General features: G+C 61.6%; 1 protein-coding gene and 1 non-coding gene across 2 annotated transcripts in view, besides 2 other annotated features; one reads left to right on the top strand and one right to left on the bottom strand.

Moving 5' to 3' along the window:
- Nucleotides 1–996: 996 nt before the first annotated feature.
- The window catches only part of CCDC88B (coiled-coil domain containing 88B), a 17,331-nt gene continuing 622 nt past the window's right edge, over nt 997–17,705 (bottom strand). The window contains exons 3-27 of the mRNA NM_032251.6: nt 17,513–17,624; nt 17,353–17,422; nt 17,203–17,261; nt 17,027–17,110; nt 16,789–16,932; nt 16,392–16,537; nt 16,156–16,237; nt 15,851–16,009; nt 15,206–15,352; nt 14,916–15,024; nt 14,617–14,753; nt 13,374–14,534; nt 9,073–9,200; nt 8,863–8,980; nt 7,276–7,371; nt 6,915–7,055; nt 6,145–6,401; nt 5,644–5,787; nt 5,291–5,477; nt 5,035–5,180; nt 4,718–4,816; nt 4,361–4,527; nt 3,131–3,337; nt 2,903–2,971; nt 997–1,492 (exon numbers count right to left, since the gene is read on the bottom strand). Coding sequence (NP_115627.6) covers nt 1,437–1,492; nt 2,903–2,971; nt 3,131–3,337; nt 4,361–4,527; nt 4,718–4,816; nt 5,035–5,180; nt 5,291–5,477; nt 5,644–5,787; nt 6,145–6,401; nt 6,915–7,055; nt 7,276–7,371; nt 8,863–8,980; nt 9,073–9,200; nt 13,374–14,534; nt 14,617–14,753; nt 14,916–15,024; nt 15,206–15,352; nt 15,851–16,009; nt 16,156–16,237; nt 16,392–16,537; nt 16,789–16,932; nt 17,027–17,110; nt 17,203–17,261; nt 17,353–17,422; nt 17,513–17,624 — 4,225 coding nt within the window. The 3' untranslated portion in view covers nt 997–1,436. The remainder of the gene's footprint in view (nt 1,493–2,902; nt 2,972–3,130; nt 3,338–4,360; nt 4,528–4,717; nt 4,817–5,034; nt 5,181–5,290; nt 5,478–5,643; nt 5,788–6,144; nt 6,402–6,914; nt 7,056–7,275; nt 7,372–8,862; nt 8,981–9,072; nt 9,201–13,373; nt 14,535–14,616; nt 14,754–14,915; nt 15,025–15,205; nt 15,353–15,850; nt 16,010–16,155; nt 16,238–16,391; nt 16,538–16,788; nt 16,933–17,026; nt 17,111–17,202; nt 17,262–17,352; nt 17,423–17,512; nt 17,625–17,705) is intronic.
- Nucleotides 15,480–15,774: a silencer, noted in NCBI's record as "tiled region #2125; HepG2 Repressive DNase matched - State 4:PromP". NCBI's record gives its function as "represses a minimal TATA promoter and a strong SV40 promoter by Sharpr-MPRA in HepG2 cells {active_cell/tissue: HepG2}" and the evidence as "EXISTENCE:reporter gene assay evidence [ECO:0000049][PMID:27701403]".
- Nucleotides 16,627–16,682, top strand: MIR7155 (microRNA 7155). Its single transcript, NR_106977.1, has one exon. It is a non-coding gene; the product is annotated as a microRNA 7155 (primary transcript).
- Nucleotides 17,639–17,688: a silencer, noted in NCBI's record as "silent region_3479". NCBI's record gives its function as "represses an Ori minimal core promoter by ATAC-STARR-seq in GM12878 lymphoblastoid cells {active_cell/tissue: GM12878}" and the evidence as "EXISTENCE:reporter gene assay evidence [ECO:0000049][PMID:35858748]".

Here is a 17,705-nt window from a genome sequence, read left to right as displayed (position 1 = left end):
AGCCCACCAGGTGCCATGCGCACCTCACGTGTTCTGCTCCTGTTGTCTCCTAGCCTGGTGCAGTACCCAGCTTAGAGCCCTGAGCAGGCCTCAAGAAGAGATGTCAGTGCCACACGGGGCTGCCCCCTCTCCCCATGAGGCCCAGGGCCCCTGCTGACTGGTCCTCCTGAGCCCCTGCTCCGTCTTCTTCCTGCCTTTCCCTTCCTGACCACCAATGGGGCCACCTAGCAGAGTGGGACAGCCATGAGGCCCCACACCCTGAGGCCGGTGGGAGGGGCTCTCAGCTCCTCTGCCAGCTGGAGAGGCCAGGGTGTCCACCCCACGCCCCTGTCCTGTGAAGCCCTGGCTGAGAGGAGGAGGAACTCAAGCTGCTGCAGGTCACACCTGGGAGGCCGGACGGACCGTCCCTCCCAGCTCTGCACCCCCCAAGTTCAGGCTGCCTTATCTCAGCCCTGGGCAGCTCCACCCTCCCCTGGGTGGCCCCAGGTACCCTGACTCACATCCTGCACCCCAGCCGAATTGCCCCGCCTCTCAGGCATCAGGCTAGAGGCCCTGGTCAGAGAGCCAGCGTCCCTCCCACCTCTCCTGGCAACCCCTGGCATTAAGTGATGCCCCGCCAGGCTGAGAACTCCCTGGGGAGGGGGCTCAACCTCAAGGAGGGAGGGGAGATGAGTAGGAGGAGGATGTGAACAGAGAGAAGACAGTGCCCTGGGAGAGGGTGGGGGCGGGGCAACAGGGGCTTCACTGCCCCACACCCCTGAGCCCAGATCTTAGACCCCAATCCCTGCTGGCTACCCAGGATGTCATCCCCTCTCCACCTCACCAGGACATCCGGGCTTTGGCCGGCCGGACTGGCCAAGACCCTGGAGAAAGGCCTGTGCTGCCCTGTCCAGGCAGGGGCCCTCTGCCCACAGACCCCCACCAACCAGCAGGACTGGGGCGGCATGTGTCCTGGTGCCCTGAGGTACCCAGTGCGGCCAACAGACAGAGCAAGACTCAGGAGGCTGCAGTTCAGCTTTATTCTCATGCCCCTCATGTCCAGTTAAGGCTCAAGATCAGCCCAGGCCACAGTCCCCCAGCACTGGGACTCAGCTTCCCACCTGGACAGGGCAGGGGGTTCTCTTGCCAACTCCTGCCAGCCTCCTTCAGCTGGGGGATCCCCCAGAGACCGCTGCCTCAGCGGGAGCCACCTGGAAGAACCAGAACTCCAGCCTGGAGCTGCTCGTGGGGGCCAGCCATCCCCCCTGTCCACACACTCGTCCCAGCTCCATCTCCGGGCCCCGGCGCTGACCGTGGAGGATCTCAGGGCCCAGGCCTCCTTGTCCAAGGACTCCCCTTGGGGTCCCTGGCTCCCTGAGCTCTTGGGCTGCCTGGGGCCTCCGCTGACACTCCAGTGCCGAGAAGGCTGCACTCCCAAGCCTGCTGTTCCCACGGTGTCACTGGCTGAGGGATGGGGTGAGGGGACGTTTCTCCGGTTCCTGTACCTCAGGGCCTAGAGGGAAAGGCTCAGCTGAGATCTGCTTCCCTCAGGAGGACTCCCAGAGTCCCAGGAGGCCCACAGGCTCGAGCACCTTCTGCCCACCCCCGACCTGCCAATACCCCCCGCTTCCAGCTGCACCACGCCTGCTGTTCCCTCAGCGGTTCCCTCTGCCCAGAATGCTGTTCTCAGGTATGTCCACACGACAAACTCTCCCCTCCAAGTCTTTGCTCCAATTTCACATCCTCTCTGAGGCCCACCCCAGCACCCCAGTTACTAAAACTCCAACCAGCCTGCCCAGAGCTCCTGAGCTCCTGACCCCTCCCCTGCTCTCCTTTCTTCCCAGAGCATTAGCGCCTCCTGATGGTCCAGCCGGGTCTAGGGCTGAGCTGCCCAGGGCGGAGCTAAGTAGGTGAGATGGGGTTGGCCTGTGACGTGCTTCAAAGACCTACTATGTTTTTTTGTTTTTTGTTTTTTGTTTTTGAGACAGTCTCACTCTGTCACCAACGCTGGAGTGCAATGGCGTGATCTTGGCTCACTGCACCCTCTGCCTCCCAGGTTCAAGCGATTCTCCTGCCTCAGCCCCCTGAGTAGGTGGGATTACAGGCATGGGACACCATGCCTGGCTAATTTTTGTAGTTTTAGTAGAGACGGGATTTCACCATTTTGGCTAGGCTGGTCTCTAACTTCTGGCCTCAAGTGATCTGCCTGCCTTGGCCTCCGAAACTGCCAAAGACTTACTATGAAAAAAATCACGTCTGGCTGGGTGGCTCACACCTATAATCCCAGCACTTTGGGAGGCTGAAGCGGGCGGATCACCTGAGGTCAGGAGTTCGAGACCAGCCTGACCAACATGGTGAAACCCCGTCTCTACTAAAAAAAATAATAATAATTATACAAAATTAGCCTGGCGTGGTGGCCCATGCCTGTAATCCCAGCTACTTGGGAGGCTGAGCCAGGAGAATCGTTTGAACCTGGGAGGAGGAGGTTGCAGTGAGCCAAAGAGTGAAATTCCATCTCAAAAAAAAAAAAAAAACATCACGTCTAATAGCTCATTCATGATTTTTACACTGGCTACATGCTGAAATGGTAATAGCGTAGGCATATTGAGTTAAATGTTATTAAAATCCATTGTACCTGTCTCTTTTCACTTTTTCTGGTAAGCCTACTGGAAAAGTTAAAATTATCATGTGGTTCACACCATATTTCTAGTGGACAGGGCTGTTGTAGATAATAATTATTTTTAGGCAAATTGTTTACTATCTGCCTCCTCACACCAGAACGTTCCCTGCTGTGTCCCCTGCCAGCACGTCACCTGGCACTTGGTAAAGGATCATTGTCGAATGAAAGAATGGATGAATGAGGTTCTGCCAGGGGCCCCAGGCAGGACAAAGAATACTACTCCTTCCACAGTCCCCCACTCACCCTCTCGGTTGGCATCTGTTTCGTGTTCCTGCAGGGTCTCAGCGGAGTTCTCCCATCCCACACCAGGTCCTGGGAGGCACAAGGCAACCACTGGGCCCAGGGCCAGTGCGGAAGTGGACAGAGCTTGCAGGAGACACAGGGGACAAGAAGGAAGCCTCCTCCCCCAAGGAGCTGGTGGGTCCACAAAGAGTTGGGGGGCTGGCTGGTACAGTGACCCTTGTCCCTCACCTTTGCTGTGGGAGACGGGCGCCCCCAGGGGGCCTGGATGGCGCTGTCGGAATCGTTGCCTAGGGGTGTCCCCAGGGCTGAATGACTCAGAGCTTCGCCCCACCGGGAACCTTGAGCTGAGTTTCCGCCGCTGCCCGCCTGCCAAGGTCTCATCCCGCAGGCAGAGGGAGCTCTGGGCCCGGCGCATGGGTGCCGGGGAAGGGGACCCTGCAAGAGGTACATGCAGGGAGGGGGTGAGAGGAGGGGACGGGAGCTGAGGCTCCTGTAGGGAGGAGGTCAGAGAATGGGGGGAGGCTGAGGCTCACGCAGGGAGGGGGTCAGACAAGGGGAGGGGGTGCTGAGGCTCCTGCAGGAAGGAGGTCAGAGAAGGGAAGTGGGGGCTGAGGCTCATGCACGGAGAGGGCCAGAGGAGGGGAGAGGGAGCTGAGGCTCATGCAGGGAGGGGGTCAGACGAGGGGAGCGGGGGGGCTGAGGCTCCTGCAGGGAGGAGGTCAGAGAAGGGAAGTGGGGGCTGAGGCTCATGCAGGGAGGGGGTCAGAGGAGGGGAGGAGGCTGAGGCTCATGCAGGGAGAGGGTCAGAGGAGGGGGGGAGGCTGAGGCTTATGCAGGGAGGGGGTCAGAGGAAGGGAACGGGGACTGAGTCTCATGCAGGGAGGGGGTCAGAAGAGGGGGCTGAGGTTCATGCAGGGGAGGGGTCAGAGGGGGGGGGCGGAGGCTCATGCAGGGAGGGGGTCAGAGGAACAGGGCCCTGGATGGAGTAGAGGGGCCAGTGGGTGAAGCTGCCCAGGGCCAGGGAGGGGAGGTGCAGAGGTGGGGGAGAAGCCAGGCAAATGAGTGGGGCAGCAGGACACTGGCCCTGTGCTGGCCTTCATACTAACTCACTGCATGACCTTGGGCAAAAGCTTCCCCTCCCGGGGCCTCAGTCTCCTCATCTGCAGTCTAGGAACAATGACCTCTCCCTAGAGTCCACTGCACCTCCCAGATCCTGGGCTCCGCTGCGGATGGGGCAGGCTGGGTCGGGGACAGCACAGGCAGGAGGGAGGTGTGGGCCAAGGGTGACCCTGTAGGACCCAGGGAAAAGAGCCCCTGGTGGCATCAGGGCAGGGGGGGCAGGCCTCAGGGAAGGCCAATGGGGTCACGCATGCAGGCCAGGCAGTGAGGCAGGTGCCAAGGTGGGGGACAGAGGATGTGGGGCAGGGACCATCCTGGCCACCTGACCCCCAGACCCACCTGTCCCATCTGCCTCCCTGCCCTCAGGAAGCTCCGTCTCCGGGGGGCCCCCCAGGCTCTCGGTGCTGCCAGCCCCATCGGCCCCCAGGCGCAGCCCCCCAGGGGGGCCCCCCTCCCGCCGGGGCCGCATCAGCCTCTTCACCTTGTCTGCCAGCCAGCTGCCCTTCCTGGGGGCAAGAGGGCACAAGAGGGGGTCAGGACAGGGAGGAGGGAGGGAGCAAAGGGTGTCCTGGGGATGTCAAAGGCCAGGTTGACCTTCATGGGGCCTGGACCTGAGCTGGGCCTGGGGTCAGAGGCCAGGGCAGGGGCAGAGGTTAGCAGGATGTCCAGCCTGAGGGAGGTGACAGGGCTGCTCACTTGGTCCGGGGCAGGGGCACAGGCTCCAGCACGCGGTATTGGTCCATGATCTTCTCCACGAGCTTCTGCTTCTCGCGGCGCAGGGCATTAAGCTGGTCCCTGGCAGGAGTGAGAAGGGAGAGGTGGGTGTGAGGCCCAGGGAGGCCGAGGCAGTAGCAAGGCACAAGCTGCAGCGAGGACGCACTGGTCCCGTGCCGCAGATTGGACTGACCTGGAAGGTCAGCTCCAACCCTGTCCCTAGGCCCTCACTAAGGGCTCTCCCCAGGAACGCCCAAAGGGGATGCAGGCCCCACCCCGCTCCCAGGCGGCCCACTCACAGGTACTCCCGCTGTTCGCGGTGCAGGTGGTCCCGACTCTCCAGGCTGCGCTCCAGGAGCTCCCTGTTCTCCCGGCTCAGGGCCTGAACTTCAGCCAGCAGCTGCCGGTTCTCCTCTTCCTGGGCACTTCGCAGCTGTGTCAATAGCTGGCAGGGGGGCACCATGGCTCGGAGGGTGGGACCCAGCTCAGGACCACCTGGGTCTAGGCTTTCTGCCCCACCACACGCCCATACCCCCACCGGCCCTCCAGCCACACCTCACACTGCGTGGTCAGCCGGCAGGCGCTCAGGTCCAGCTGCTGGTTGGACTCGCGCAGCTGCTGGCTCTGCATCTCCAGCTGTGCCCGCTCCAGCTCCAGCCGCGCCAGCCGGCCCCGTAGCTCCCCGCGTTCACCCTGCAGCTCACCCCGCTCCCGAGACAACTCTGCCAGCAGCATCTGAGCCCTTGGGAGGCAAGGAGAGCTGCTCTCCAAGGGACCTGGGTCCCCAGTCCGAGTGCTGGCCAGAGAAGTTATGCCGGGGAGGGGAGGCCAGACAGGACCCCACACCCCCAACCCACTTTCAGGATGGGGCCACTGAGAGCTGCTAGAGGCTGTGGCAGGGGCGGCACCTGTCGTGCTCGCTCTGAAGCCTCCGCAGCTCCTCCTCCAGGCCCCGCTGCCGATGCCCATCTTGCATCAGGCGTTCACGCTCTGCCAGCAGGGCCACCTCCTGTGCCTCCACGCTGGCCCGCTGGGCCTGCAGCTGCTCGTGCCTGGGATGGACAAGGGGCTAAGAGGGCTGTGTGAACCTATGGCCACCACAAGCAGCTGGCTGGACTATCTGGACCCGGGGCGGGGGGGTCTGTCACCTCCTAAGCCTAGGTCCCCCAGAGGAAGCCATTGGGCAGAATGCCATGCCAGGTGCCCACCACTCCCAATAGGTGAGCCCCACGGGGAGCCCAACCCAGAAGTGTGGGGAGCACAGCTACCCCAGAGGGCACAGCAGTGGCCGGGGCATCACAGAGCGGAGGTGGAGGTGCTTCCTGATGGGGAGTCAGACCTGCTGAGGGGAGTCTTCTCTGGCAGATAGGGGGTGCCAGGGGAGGAGCTGGGCATTTGGTGATGCTCACCGGCCCTGCAGCTCCCGGTGGGCCAGCTCCAGTGCCCGCATGTTGGCCTTGAGGTCTCGGTGCCGCACCAGCAGTCCCTCTAGCTCGGCCTCCTGCCGCCGCTGCAGCTGTGCCAGGGCCTTGTGGTCCCGAAGCAGGGCCTGCTGCTGCCCGCGGGTCTCCTCCTGGGACTGCCGTGCCGCCCGCACCTCCTCCTCCAGCACCTCCAGCTTCCGGTGCAGCTCCTGGCCCTGAATCTCCAGCACAGACTTCTCGGCCTAGGATGGAGGAGGGAAGCAGGGGCTGCTGGGGAGGAACCCCTGGCTGGAAATCGAGTGAGAGGCGGGGGGCTAAGGGCAGACGGTAGGGCCCAAGACAATGAGAGAGTTGTGGAGGAGGCAAAGGGCTGGGGGCACAGCAGGCAGTACAAGCCCCAGCCAGAGGCTGATGGTGAGCAGGGGAGAGGCGGCAGAGGCTGGCTGGGCCAGGCTGTCCGGAAGGGGCACAGGGCAGAATGGGACTAATGGCGCCCTGTGGAGGGGAGGGCTGGGACAGTGAGAGCGCAGGGCGACATGGGTGTAGATGTGGGGGCTGGCGGCAGGTAGGAGGAGATAGTGGCAGGGAGGATGGTGCAAAATGGTGGCTGGGGTCAGAGGACAAGGATAAATGAGACTGGGGAAGAGGTGGGGCAGCTGGCTGGGAGCTGGGATAGAAAAAGGCCACAGGATGATCCAAAAGGAGCAGGAGGGGGCAGTACATGGGCAGGGATGGGCACCCGGGCCACCACCCACCTGCAGGCGGCTGCTGTGCTCCTGCGCCCGCTGGCTCTGCAGCAGCAGCTCCTGGGCACGGCCCTGCAGGCTCCCCAGCTGCCCCTCCAGGTGCTGCAGCTGCCCCTGCAAAGCTGCCTTCTCTGCCACCAGCATCGCATTCTGCCCAGAAGTGGGGGTTAGCAATAGCCAGGTGGCGGGGGCACCCCCTAGTGCCTACCACAGGCCCACACTCACACTGCATGGGGCACCCCCACCCCCGGGCCCACTGTGAGTCCACACTCACACTGCACGGGATACCCCCCAGCCCAGGGTCCACCGTGGACCCACACTCACACTGCACGGGGCACCTCCCCAGGGCCCACTGTGGGCCCACACTCACACTGCGCTCCACCTCAATAAGCCGCACATTCTGGGTCTCCACCAGCTGAGGCTCCGCACGCTTTTTGGGCCCCAGCCCCGCGGGGCCCTGGCGCAGCTGCAAGGAGAGTCCCTGGGAGGTCATGCGGGACAGCCGCAGTGCCTTGGGGATGCCTCAAGGACCTGCGCTTATGGACCTGCCCTGCCAGCAGCATTTAGCCTAGTCCACCCCGCCCCAATCCCATGCCTTCCCTTGGATCCCACAAGTCCCTGCTCCTGGTTCCTGAAGCTCCACCGTCACCACCCTGCCCTTCTCAACTTCTGTCTCTCTGCGGCAGAGCCTTCTGCTCATAACACTTCTCCATCCCACTACTCCTCTAAGACTATTTGGTTTTTTGTTTTTGTTTTGAGACAGAGTCTCACTCTGCCACCCAGCCAGGAGTGCAGAGGTGTGATCTGGGCTCACTGCAACCTCTGCCTCCCGGGTTCAAGCAATTCTCCTGCCTTAGCCTCCCGAGTAGCTGGGATTACAGATGTGGGCCACCACGCCTGGCTAATTTTTAGGGTTTTTTTTGTTTTTTTGGGTTTTTTTGAGACGGAGTCACACTCTGTCACCCGGGCTGGAGTGCAGTGGTGTGATCTCGGCTCACTGCAACCTCCTCCTCCCAGGTTCAAGCAATTCCCCTGCCTCGGCCTCCTGAGTAGCTGGGACTACAGGCGCCCACTACCATGCCCAGCTAACAGCTAATTTTTGTTGTTGTTGTTGTATTTTTAGTAGAGATGGGGTTTCACGGTGTTCATCAGGATGCTCTCGATCTCCTGACCTCATGATCCATCTGCCTCGGCCTCCCAAAGTGCTGGGATTACAGGCGTGAGCCACCACGCCCGGCCTGATTTTTGTATTTTTAGTAGAGATGGGGTTTCACCATATTGGTCATGCTGGTCTCGAACTCCTGACCTCAGGTGATCCACCTGCCTTGGCCTCCCAAAGTGCTGGGATTACAGGCATGAGCTGCTGTGTGGGGCCTTCTCTAAGCCTCTGTTTCAACCCCACCTTCTCCACAAAACCTTCCCTGATAGACTCGCATGCACCTGCTGGGTATCTTGCTGGGTACCACCCTCCCAAGCCCCTGCATGGCCTCCTCACAGCCCCTGGCACCTAGTTATTGTCACCTGTTTTCTTGCCTCTATCCTGACTGTCCTGTGAGCTCCCTGAGGATGGCAGCCTGGGATTGGGCCCCACCACCACCCCACCCTCCGTGTGGAGCCCGCACACAGCCTGGGTATCAGAAACCATCGCTGGCTTCCTTGATGCCAAACACTGAGCTCCCTAGGCAGTGGAGGACCTCGGGTGAGACAGGCGGAGCAGTCATCCACAGCAGAAGTTCTGTCCATGTGCAGAATGGGGAAAATGAGACCCCAGATAAGTCAACACGGCCACCTGACTCCCAGCACAGTGCTCTCTCCAACAGGCCCCACATGGGGAGTGAGGCAAGTAGCTAGCCAAGAATCCAGAGGCAAGACTAGGAGGACAGATGACCCTGGCATCTGCTCATGGGATGGAGGGCAGGGTGGCATGGCCCCCAGCTCCCAGGCGGGCAGGCATCACCTGGAACAGCTCCTCTTCCAGCTGCAGGGCCCTGGTCTTGAGCTCCATCAGCGCCTCCTCCTTGCTGGTCGCCGCCGCCTGCAGCTCAGCTTCCAGCCGCTGCTCCAAGCCCTGGTACCTGCCAGGAGAATCCTTAGCACCCAGCCCCACCCCACCCTCGCCCCACCACACCCCTGCCTCCCTCATTCTTCCCCTCAGCCCTGTCCCCACCTCTGGTGCTGGCTTTCCTTTTCTCGCAGAAATTCCTGGCGCTCGAGAGCCGCCTGCTCCAGCTCACGCTGCAAATGCTCCAGCCGGTCCCCCAACTCCTTGCCCCGCACCACAGCTTTCTCCAGCTCCTGAGGGCAAGCAGAGCAGGCTCAGGGCAAGGGGGCAGGAGACAGCCGGAGACAGAGGCCTGAGAGTCAAGAGAGCTGCCTTTCTGTCCTTGACCTGCCATCCTGGGCACGTATCATTAAGCCTTTGGGCTCTACTTCCCCATCTATAAAATGGGAGCAAAGCCTGGGGCCCTTGAAATTGGGCATGAAAGAGCTGGGTGTTGTAAGCCTGGCAGGGCATGAGGAAGGCCCCTGGGCTGGGAGTCGGTAGGTGACACATGTTGGGCAAGTGCCGTCACCTCTCTGAGCCCACGGTTCTTCATGTGCGCAGTGAAAGGTGGATGCGCCCGGTGGGCTGCCACCCCAGCCATGTGACAGCGAGACAGCTAGAGAGGCTCAGCAGAGGTGGGTCGGGTGAGAGACCTTGGCTACAGGGAAAAGGCCACGGAGGGCTGGAGGGACAGGAAGTCAGGAGCTGACAGTGGGGGCTGGGGGGGCAGGGGGCGCCAGGATGCTGCCAGCTAGGTGACCTGTGGCCTTTGGCGGTTGGGCTGCACCACTTTGGAAGGAGACGGGAGGCCCATTCTGGCCTGTGTGCCCCAGAGGGAGGGAGACCAAACCATTCTGCCACATGGGGGGCCTGGCAGGATGAAGCTTCGGGGACAGCTGCCCATGACCAGCTGCCAGCCAAATCCTGCCTTGGAAACCAAGCCTACAAGCCTTGCTGCTGAAAACTACCTTCCTGGCTTAATAACTGCACCTAGGCCTTGCCCAAGGGGCACTGCACCTCCTGACACTCTTGGCCACCACCTCTCCCTGAAAAACTACAAGTCCGATGAGGCACTGCTGCCTGGCTGGCTGACAGCCACTAGCGCAAGTACTGGGGTAGGAGGCACGGTGAATAGAACCTCCCGCCCAGCCCCTGCCCTGCCCTCCTCCGGGCCCTGGCCACAGCCCTCCTAGAACCCCCTCCCCCAAGCCTGGGAGGCTTCCCCACCCAGTGGACAACCTGAGACCCCCTGGTTCCCTGACCTCCCCCTGGCCAGCCACCTTCTCCTGCTCCAACCAGGAAATCTCACAAAATTCCCCCTTTGTCCCTAGCTTCCCCCACCCTCTCAGTCCTTGGAGCCGGCTCTTCCAGCCCGCCAGCCCTACCCTCACCTTCACTGCCTACCTGCTGCCATTCCCTCCCATGGAACAGGTCCATTCTAGGTGCCAGGCATTGCCCCAAGCTCCCTACGCTCATTATCTTACAGGATCCTGTGAGGCAGGTACAATTTTTTTTTTTTTTTTTTTTTTTTTGAGACGGAGTCTTGCTCTGTCACCCAGACTGGACTGCAGTGGCGCGATCTTGGCTCACTGCAACCTCTGCCTCCTGGGTTCAAGCAATTCTCCTACCTCAGCCTCCCGAGTAGCTGGGATTACAGGTGCGTGCCACCACACCCGACTAATTTTGTGTTTTTAGTAGAGTTGGGGTTTTGCCATGTTGGCCAGGCTGGTCTCGAACTCCTGACCTCCGGTCATCCGCCCACCTCAGCCTCCCGAAGTGCTGGGATTACAGGTGTGAGCCACTGTGCCCAGCCAAGGCAGGTACAATTTTTATTCCAGTTTTACAAGTGAGAAAACTGAGACTCAGAGAGGTTAAGTAACTTGCCCCAAGCCACACAGCTGGAAAGTAGGCAGGTCGCCCGGCTAGACAGCATCTCAGCCACACCCCACAGAGTGGACCCCAGAGATGGTCTCTCACCTTCCCTCTCACATTCGCCAGAACCCCCTTACCCTGGGCCTGTCTTGCACAACGCCTGACCCCATGTCTACCCAGCAGTGTTCTCCCCACCCCCCATCCTCATAATGGGTCTCTGAGCAAATTACTCTTCCTCCCTGAATTTCAGGGTCCTTGTCTGTACAGAAATGGGACTGGAAACTGCCTGTGCAGGATGACTCAGTTCCTACCTGTGTTGCAATCTCACAGGTCCCCTAGCACTGGGGCCCATTGGCCCAAACACCCTTCCTCGCGCCTTTTCACACGCAGACCTGACCACTTTGCTCACTTTGCCCATTGGGGAGCCTTCAGTGGCTGCCCAATCCCCCATGGCAAAAGCCCTAACCCCTTCCTTAGCTTGGAAGGAAGCTGAAGCCACGCCCAAACACTGGATTGCTAGCTTCGTGGTCACTGCTGTGTGCCCAGAGCCTGGTACAGGGCCTGGCACCAAGAAGATGCCTGTAAACATGTTTAAATGAATAAGTAAAAGTGTGTTGGCCAGGTGCGGTGGCTCACGCCTGTAATCCCAGCACTTTGGGAGGCCGAGGCGGGCAGATCACAAGGTCAAGAGATTGAGACCATCCTGGCCAACATGGTGAAACCCTGTCTCTACTAAAAATTCAAAAAATTAGCTGGGCATGGTGGCATGCACCTGTAGTCCCAGCTACACGAGAGGCTGAGGCAGGAAAATCGCTTGAACCTGGGAGGTGGAGGTTGCAGTGAGCCGAGATCACGCCTCCAGCCTGGTGACAGAGGGAGACTCTGTCTCAAAAAAAGAAAAGAAAAGAAAAGAAAGAAACTAGCCAGGCCAACATGATGAAACCCCATCTCTACTAAAAATACAAAAATTGGCCGGGCGCGGTGGCTCACGCTTGTAATCCCAGCACTTTGGGAGGCCAAGGCGGGTGGATCACGAGGTCAGGAGATCGAGACCATCCTGGCTAACATGGTGAAACCCCGTCTCTACTAAAAACACAAAAAATTAGCCGAGTGCGGGAGCGGGTGCCTGTAGTCCCAGCTACTCCGGAGGCTGAGGCAGGAGAATGGCGTGAACCTGGGAGGCGGAGCTTGCAGTGAGCCGAGATAGCACCACTGCAGTCTGGCCTGGGCGAAAGAGCGAGACTCCGTCTCAAAAAAAAAAAAAAATACAAAAAGTAGCCAGGCGTGGTGGTGTGTGCCTGTACTCCCAGCTACTCAGGAGGCTGAGGTGGGAGAATCTCTTGAACCTGAGAGGCGGAGGTTGCAATGAACCAAGATCACCCCACTGCACTCCAGACTGGGCAACAGAGGGAGACTCTGTCTCAAAAAGAAAAAAGTGTCCAGTCCTCCTCTCACACCCACTCCCATGCCTCCCTAGTCAGCTTCCTCTGCCACTTACACCATGGCTACTGCGTCCTGATAGCCCCAAGCTCCCCTGTCCACCAAGGTGACCCTCCTCAAGCGCAGCCCCACACAGTTCTACCCTGGCTTTCCCTGCCTGGGGAGGGAGGACCAACACATTCAAAGCTGGCCCTCATCATCCCTTCCTCCTGGGCCCTGAGCATTCTTTTTTTGTTGTTGTTTCATTGGATGGTGTTTGTTTGTTTTGAGACAGTCTCGCTCTGTCGCCCAGGCTGGAGTATAGTGGCACAATCTCAGCTCACTGCAACCTCCGCCTTCCGGGTTCAAGCAATTCTCCTGCCTCATCCTCCCAAGTAACAGATTACAGGTGCCTGCCACCACGCCTGGCTGATTTTTGTATTTTTAATGGAGGCAGGGTTTCACCATGTTGGCCAGGCTGGTATAGAACTCCTGACCTCAAGTAATCCACCCACCTCGGCCTCCCAAAGTGCTGGGATTACAGGTGTGAGCCACCACACCCAGCCCCTGAGCGTCTTTAATGCCTTTGTCTTTGCACATGCCATTCCCTCTGGACAAAATGTCCTCCCCACCTAGTGACATTATGGTCACTCCTCCTAAAGCCTCCTTGCCTCCACTTGGGCATCAGCTCACCCTCCCATGGGCTCTCGTAGCACTTGGCTCTGAATAACCAGTGCTTGAACACTTACAACATACCCTTGCCAGCATGAACCAGACCTTTACAGCTACTGTCTCCCAAGGTCCTCCTAAGACCACCCCAGGTGGCCAGGAATAGTACCCCTGTTTTACAGAAGGATGCCTGGGGTGGAGGTGAGTCTACTGCTGCAGCCAGAGAGCCAAGATGTGTACTAGGCAGTCCCACCCCCTCCCACAGCGCCCCCATCACACAGTGGACATGGCTCTGTGCCCCAGGCCAGGCACACCTTTGGAAGGCAGGGGTGGACTTGGCCTTTCTATCTCCAGCCCCAGCTCAGTGCTGGGCACCCACTGAACAGCTGCTGATGGAATCAGTAACTCCCAACAGCCTGGAACTCTGCTTCCCAACCCCAGCGGTGAGCCCCAACCTGACCTACCGCCTGGAGGGCCTCCTTCTCCCGGCGCTCCCTCTCAGCCTCCTCCAAGTGCTGGCGGCCCTCGCTCTCCAGCACCTGCATCCGTTCCTCGGCGGCCTCCGACTGGGCCCGCAGCCTGGACCCCTCACGCTCCCACTGCCTCCGCTCCCGGCCCGCTGCTGCCAGCGCCTCCACCAGCGCCTCCCGTTCCTGGGACGCAGACTCCAGCTCCTGGCCAGCAGCCTCCACTGCCTCCCGCAGCCGGGCTTGCTCCCAGGCCTGGGCCTCTGCCTCCCGGTGGGCCTCGGCCTCTGCCCTTCGCGCTTGGGCCAGCTCCTTGGAGAGGCGGGCAGCCTCCGTGTTTTGGGCCTCCAGCTTGCGGGCCTGGGCTTCCAGCTCATCTCCAAGGGCCTCAGCCTTTCTCCTCAACTGTGCCACCTCCTCCCTGAGGGCCTCCTGCTCTGCGACACCACTGGCCAGGCTCTCCCCTGGGATTGGGCCTTCCCAGACCTGGACCTCAAGAGCCCCTTCTGACTTCTGCTGTGGTTTTTGCCAGGCTGGGTCCCTGACCGTCCCTTCCAGCCTCTGGTCATGCTCTCTGGCCTCTGCTTGTCCCGTGGCCAGGTCCAGGCCCTGGTTTGGGCCCTCCTGCTCCTCCAGCTGCACAGAGCTGGGCTCCGAAGGCCCTGGCTTGTGCTCAGGGCCCTCCTGTCTCAACCCCCAGGCCTCAGGCACCAACTCGCCTTGGGGAGCCTCTCTTCCCTCTGTCTCTCCTCCCAGCAACTGCGGGGCCTGAATTTTGGTCCCTGGACCCTGAGGTGGGGCCACAGAGGCAGGGCTCTGGAGAGAGGATCTACGGCCAGCCTTCTCCGGGGACTCCTGTGTCTCCACAGGAGAGCCTGACTCTTGCGGGGACCAGTCTGAGGCCTGGGGGTCCATGGCAGCTGCCTGAAGGGGACTCTCTGCCTCCTGTGGGTCTGAATCAGGTGCCTGGGGACACTCAGCTGATGCCTCGAGCACTGAGTCTAATGCCGGGGGAGCCAAGTCCAAGGCCTGGGGGCCTCCATCCCTTGCCTTCTGAACCAAGCCCTGAGGGCTGTGGTCGAAGGCCACAGGAGTCTGGGGAGCCTCCTCCAGCACTGGAAGAACAGGGTCCTCTCTCGGTGCCTCCAGCAGGGGGTGCTGAGGGCATACGAGAGGGACAGTCAGGCCCAGGGAGGGACTAGGGGAAGGGCCGGCCAGGACCCTGGGGGAGGGGACTTACCTGGCCCCCTGGCTGCCCCTGAAGCACCTGAAGCAGCCCCCGAAGCTCCCGGTTCTCCCTCTCAAGGGTCCGAAGCCGCCCAGCCTCTGCCTCCCTCACCTCATCTTGCAGCGAGGGGGCCGCTCCTGCTAGGGGTGCTGAGGATGAGAGATGAGGTCAGGACCCCTCCTTTACTGCCTGGCTCCTCACATACACACCCCAGAGGCTTGGGAGAAGGGAGGGAGTCAGAGGCTCTCCCCAGTACACTGCTGGAAAGCATAGGAAGCCCCCACCCCAGCCCTTCCAGTGGGGTCCCTCACCCTCCCCAGGGGATCCTGGAGGTGGCTCCAAGCTCCGCTGAAGCTCCAGCTCCAGCTCCACATTCTCCTCAGCCAGCTGGTCCACCTGATGCCGCAGAGAGTCCAGCTCCTGGGGGTGAGGGAAGGGTCAGACAAGCCCTCCACACCATGGCCAGGCCGAGTGTGTAGGTCGGAGGGTCACTAGAGGTCACCAAGAGCAGAGGTTGCAAGAATCACTAGGGACCACTAGGGAATCAATGGGGTCATGGGGTGACGGGGCAACCCAAGTGGGATCACTCTGGCTACCTTACCGCATGGGCCTCGCCCAGCCGGGTTCGCAGCAGCAGGTTCTCGCGCTGGGTCTCGTGCAGCCGGGCGCAGCGCTCTCGGGCAGCCTCCAGCTGCTCTTCCAGCAGCGCCTTGGACGCCTCCAGCACCCCCGAGAGCACCCGCTCCTCCTGGTGGGAGAGCAGGGAGAACCGGTAGCCACGCAGCCCCCATGCACTCCAGCGCCTGAGGGTCCCAAACTCCTTCCCCTCAGCCTGTCACAGACCCTGCCTCCCTCCCCCACCCTGCACCCCATCAGTCTCTAGGCCCCGCCACTCCCTTCCATCTTCTTCCCACCAAGATCTCTTCAGGTACTTTCTCCCTCGCCCCTGGCCCCGCCCTTTGTGCAGGCCCCGCCCTTCTGTCCATGCCCCGCCCCTCCCCCCCGGGAACAGCCCTCCTTCCAAGGCTGCATCACTTACACAGCCCCCCCACTCCCCTACACCTGCCCCATCCTCTGGAGGCCCTTTCCCAGACGCCACCTCCCTGAATTTGTCCTCACCCATTTCTCCACCTGTGACTGTCCCCTCCAGAGAACCTGCCTCTCTGCCCTCGGGACCCAATCTCGCCCCTCCTCCTGGCCCGCCCCCTCGCGCACGCCCCGCCCCGCGGCTCCGTCTCCGCCTCACCTCCAGCTGACTCTTGTAGGCCTCAGCCGCCTGCAGCCGCTCGCGGCAGCGCCTCAGCTCCTCCTGCAGGCGGGGCAGGCGGCCGGCCCGCTCCCGCAGCGCCTCTGCCTCCTCGCGGTACAGCTCGGCCCGCTTGGCCTGTCCCGACAGCGCCTGGGCCTGGGCCAGACGGTGTGGAGCTGGGAACAGCCAGCCGCGGGCCAGAGGGATTAGGGACGGGAAGGAGCCGGGTTGGGAGGGAGGCAATGGGACCGGGTGCGGGGAGGTTAGGGAATGCCGCGGTGGCGGGGAGCATGTGAGCGCACCTCCTGGCGGAGCCTTCTTATTTCGGCCTCCAAACCCTGCACCTCGGCCTGGGAGTCTAGCAGCAGCTCGGCCTTCTCCTCCCTGGAGGGAAGGGGAGTCTAGGGAGGGTCTGGGGGCCCACAACCCCCAGCCCTTCCCAGGCCTGACCCCTCCCGTAGCCACCAGGGCTAGGGTCCCATCCAGGCTTAATCTGCCCCTCTCCACTCAGTCCCCTTCCCAGGCTGCGCACACTCACAGCTCCTGCCGCAGACGCCGCAGCTGAGCCTTGGCGTTGGCCAGCTGCAGGGCCAGATGGTGCGAGGGGCCCTCGGCGGGAGCCCTAGAGGGAGCCTCAGGCCTCAAGCAGAGGGGTTCTCGCTCCAGCAGCAGTTCAGCCAGCCGCTGTAGGTCAGGGGTCAAGGGTCAGGACTAACTTATCCAATGCCTCTGCACATCGACCCCCAACCACAACACCAGACATGGGGTTGTGGTCTGGGGTCTTGGGCCATCTGGTTGTGACATCACTGATGGCCCAAGACCTCAGACCACAACCCCATGCCTGGGCCCCAAACTTCCATCTCCCTTGCACAACCGGCTCCCTGATGGTCCTCCAGTTCCCCAACCTGAGTCCACGATGCCCCTGCTGCCCCTACCTGGGCCCCCAGGTCACGCTCCCGTGCCAGCTTCGACAGTGTCCCCATCAGGCTCCGGGACAGCATCTCCAGCTCGGCAGGTGCCAGCTCCCCAGGATCTGGCCCAGACAGTGCCAGCACCACGCCGGCCCCCGGCTGGGTCACCTGGGGCGCAGGAAGAGCAGTTCAGTGGAAGCCGCGGTGTGGCAAGGGCGTCCCAGGTGCCATACCAGTCTGGGCTGCCGAACCGTCTCAGTACCTCCTGGATGGCAGCGGCCAGCTCGCTCTGGACCTCGAGACTGAGGCCCTGGATGTGGCGGATGAAGAGTTCCCGGTGCTCACACTGAGGGGAGACAGGAAGGGGAGCTGGTGCAGGATCTCCCTCCTCTACCGCCAAAGCTCGACCCTAACCTTTCCTTCCCACCGCCGGCTCACCTGTACTGACGCTCCCAACAGTAGCCGAAGAACGCCTTCCAGCTGCTCCACCGCTTCTTCTGCAAGGCACATGCCACAAGGGGTTAACTGGGGCGGGGAAGGTAGAGTAGTGCGGGGGCAGAGGCAGGAGGGTGTGGGTGGGGAGAGCACCTGAGAGAGGGTCAAATCCCAATGTCTGGAGGTCTGGGGGTGGCGACAGGATCAGCAGCTGCAGCTCCTCCTGGAGGCAGAGAGGCAGACTATATGAGGCGCCTTCCCGAAGGGGCTCCTCTTCCCCTCCTGTCTCCGCCTTTCCCTCGAGACCCCTTACCTGGTAGAAGTCCCTCAGTCGGCCCCACAGGTGGTTCAGGTTCCACACTCGCCAGGCAGCAGGTCCGTCAAGGCCTCTGAGCATCCGAGGTCCCCCTCGGGAGCTGGGGGCACTATGAGCCGGAGGTGGGCTCGAGGACCCGCCTCCCGTCAACAGGCCTCGCCCACCGTCCCTCAGGCCCCGCCCACTGAGC

This window comes from Homo sapiens, chromosome 11 (genome assembly GCF_000001405.40).
Source record: "Homo sapiens chromosome 11, GRCh38.p14 Primary Assembly".
Classification (NCBI taxonomy): Eukaryota; Metazoa; Chordata; class Mammalia; order Primates; family Hominidae; genus Homo; species Homo sapiens.
The sequence above is the reverse complement of the archived record's forward strand: the minus strand, read 5'-3'. Positions and strand labels throughout refer to the sequence as shown.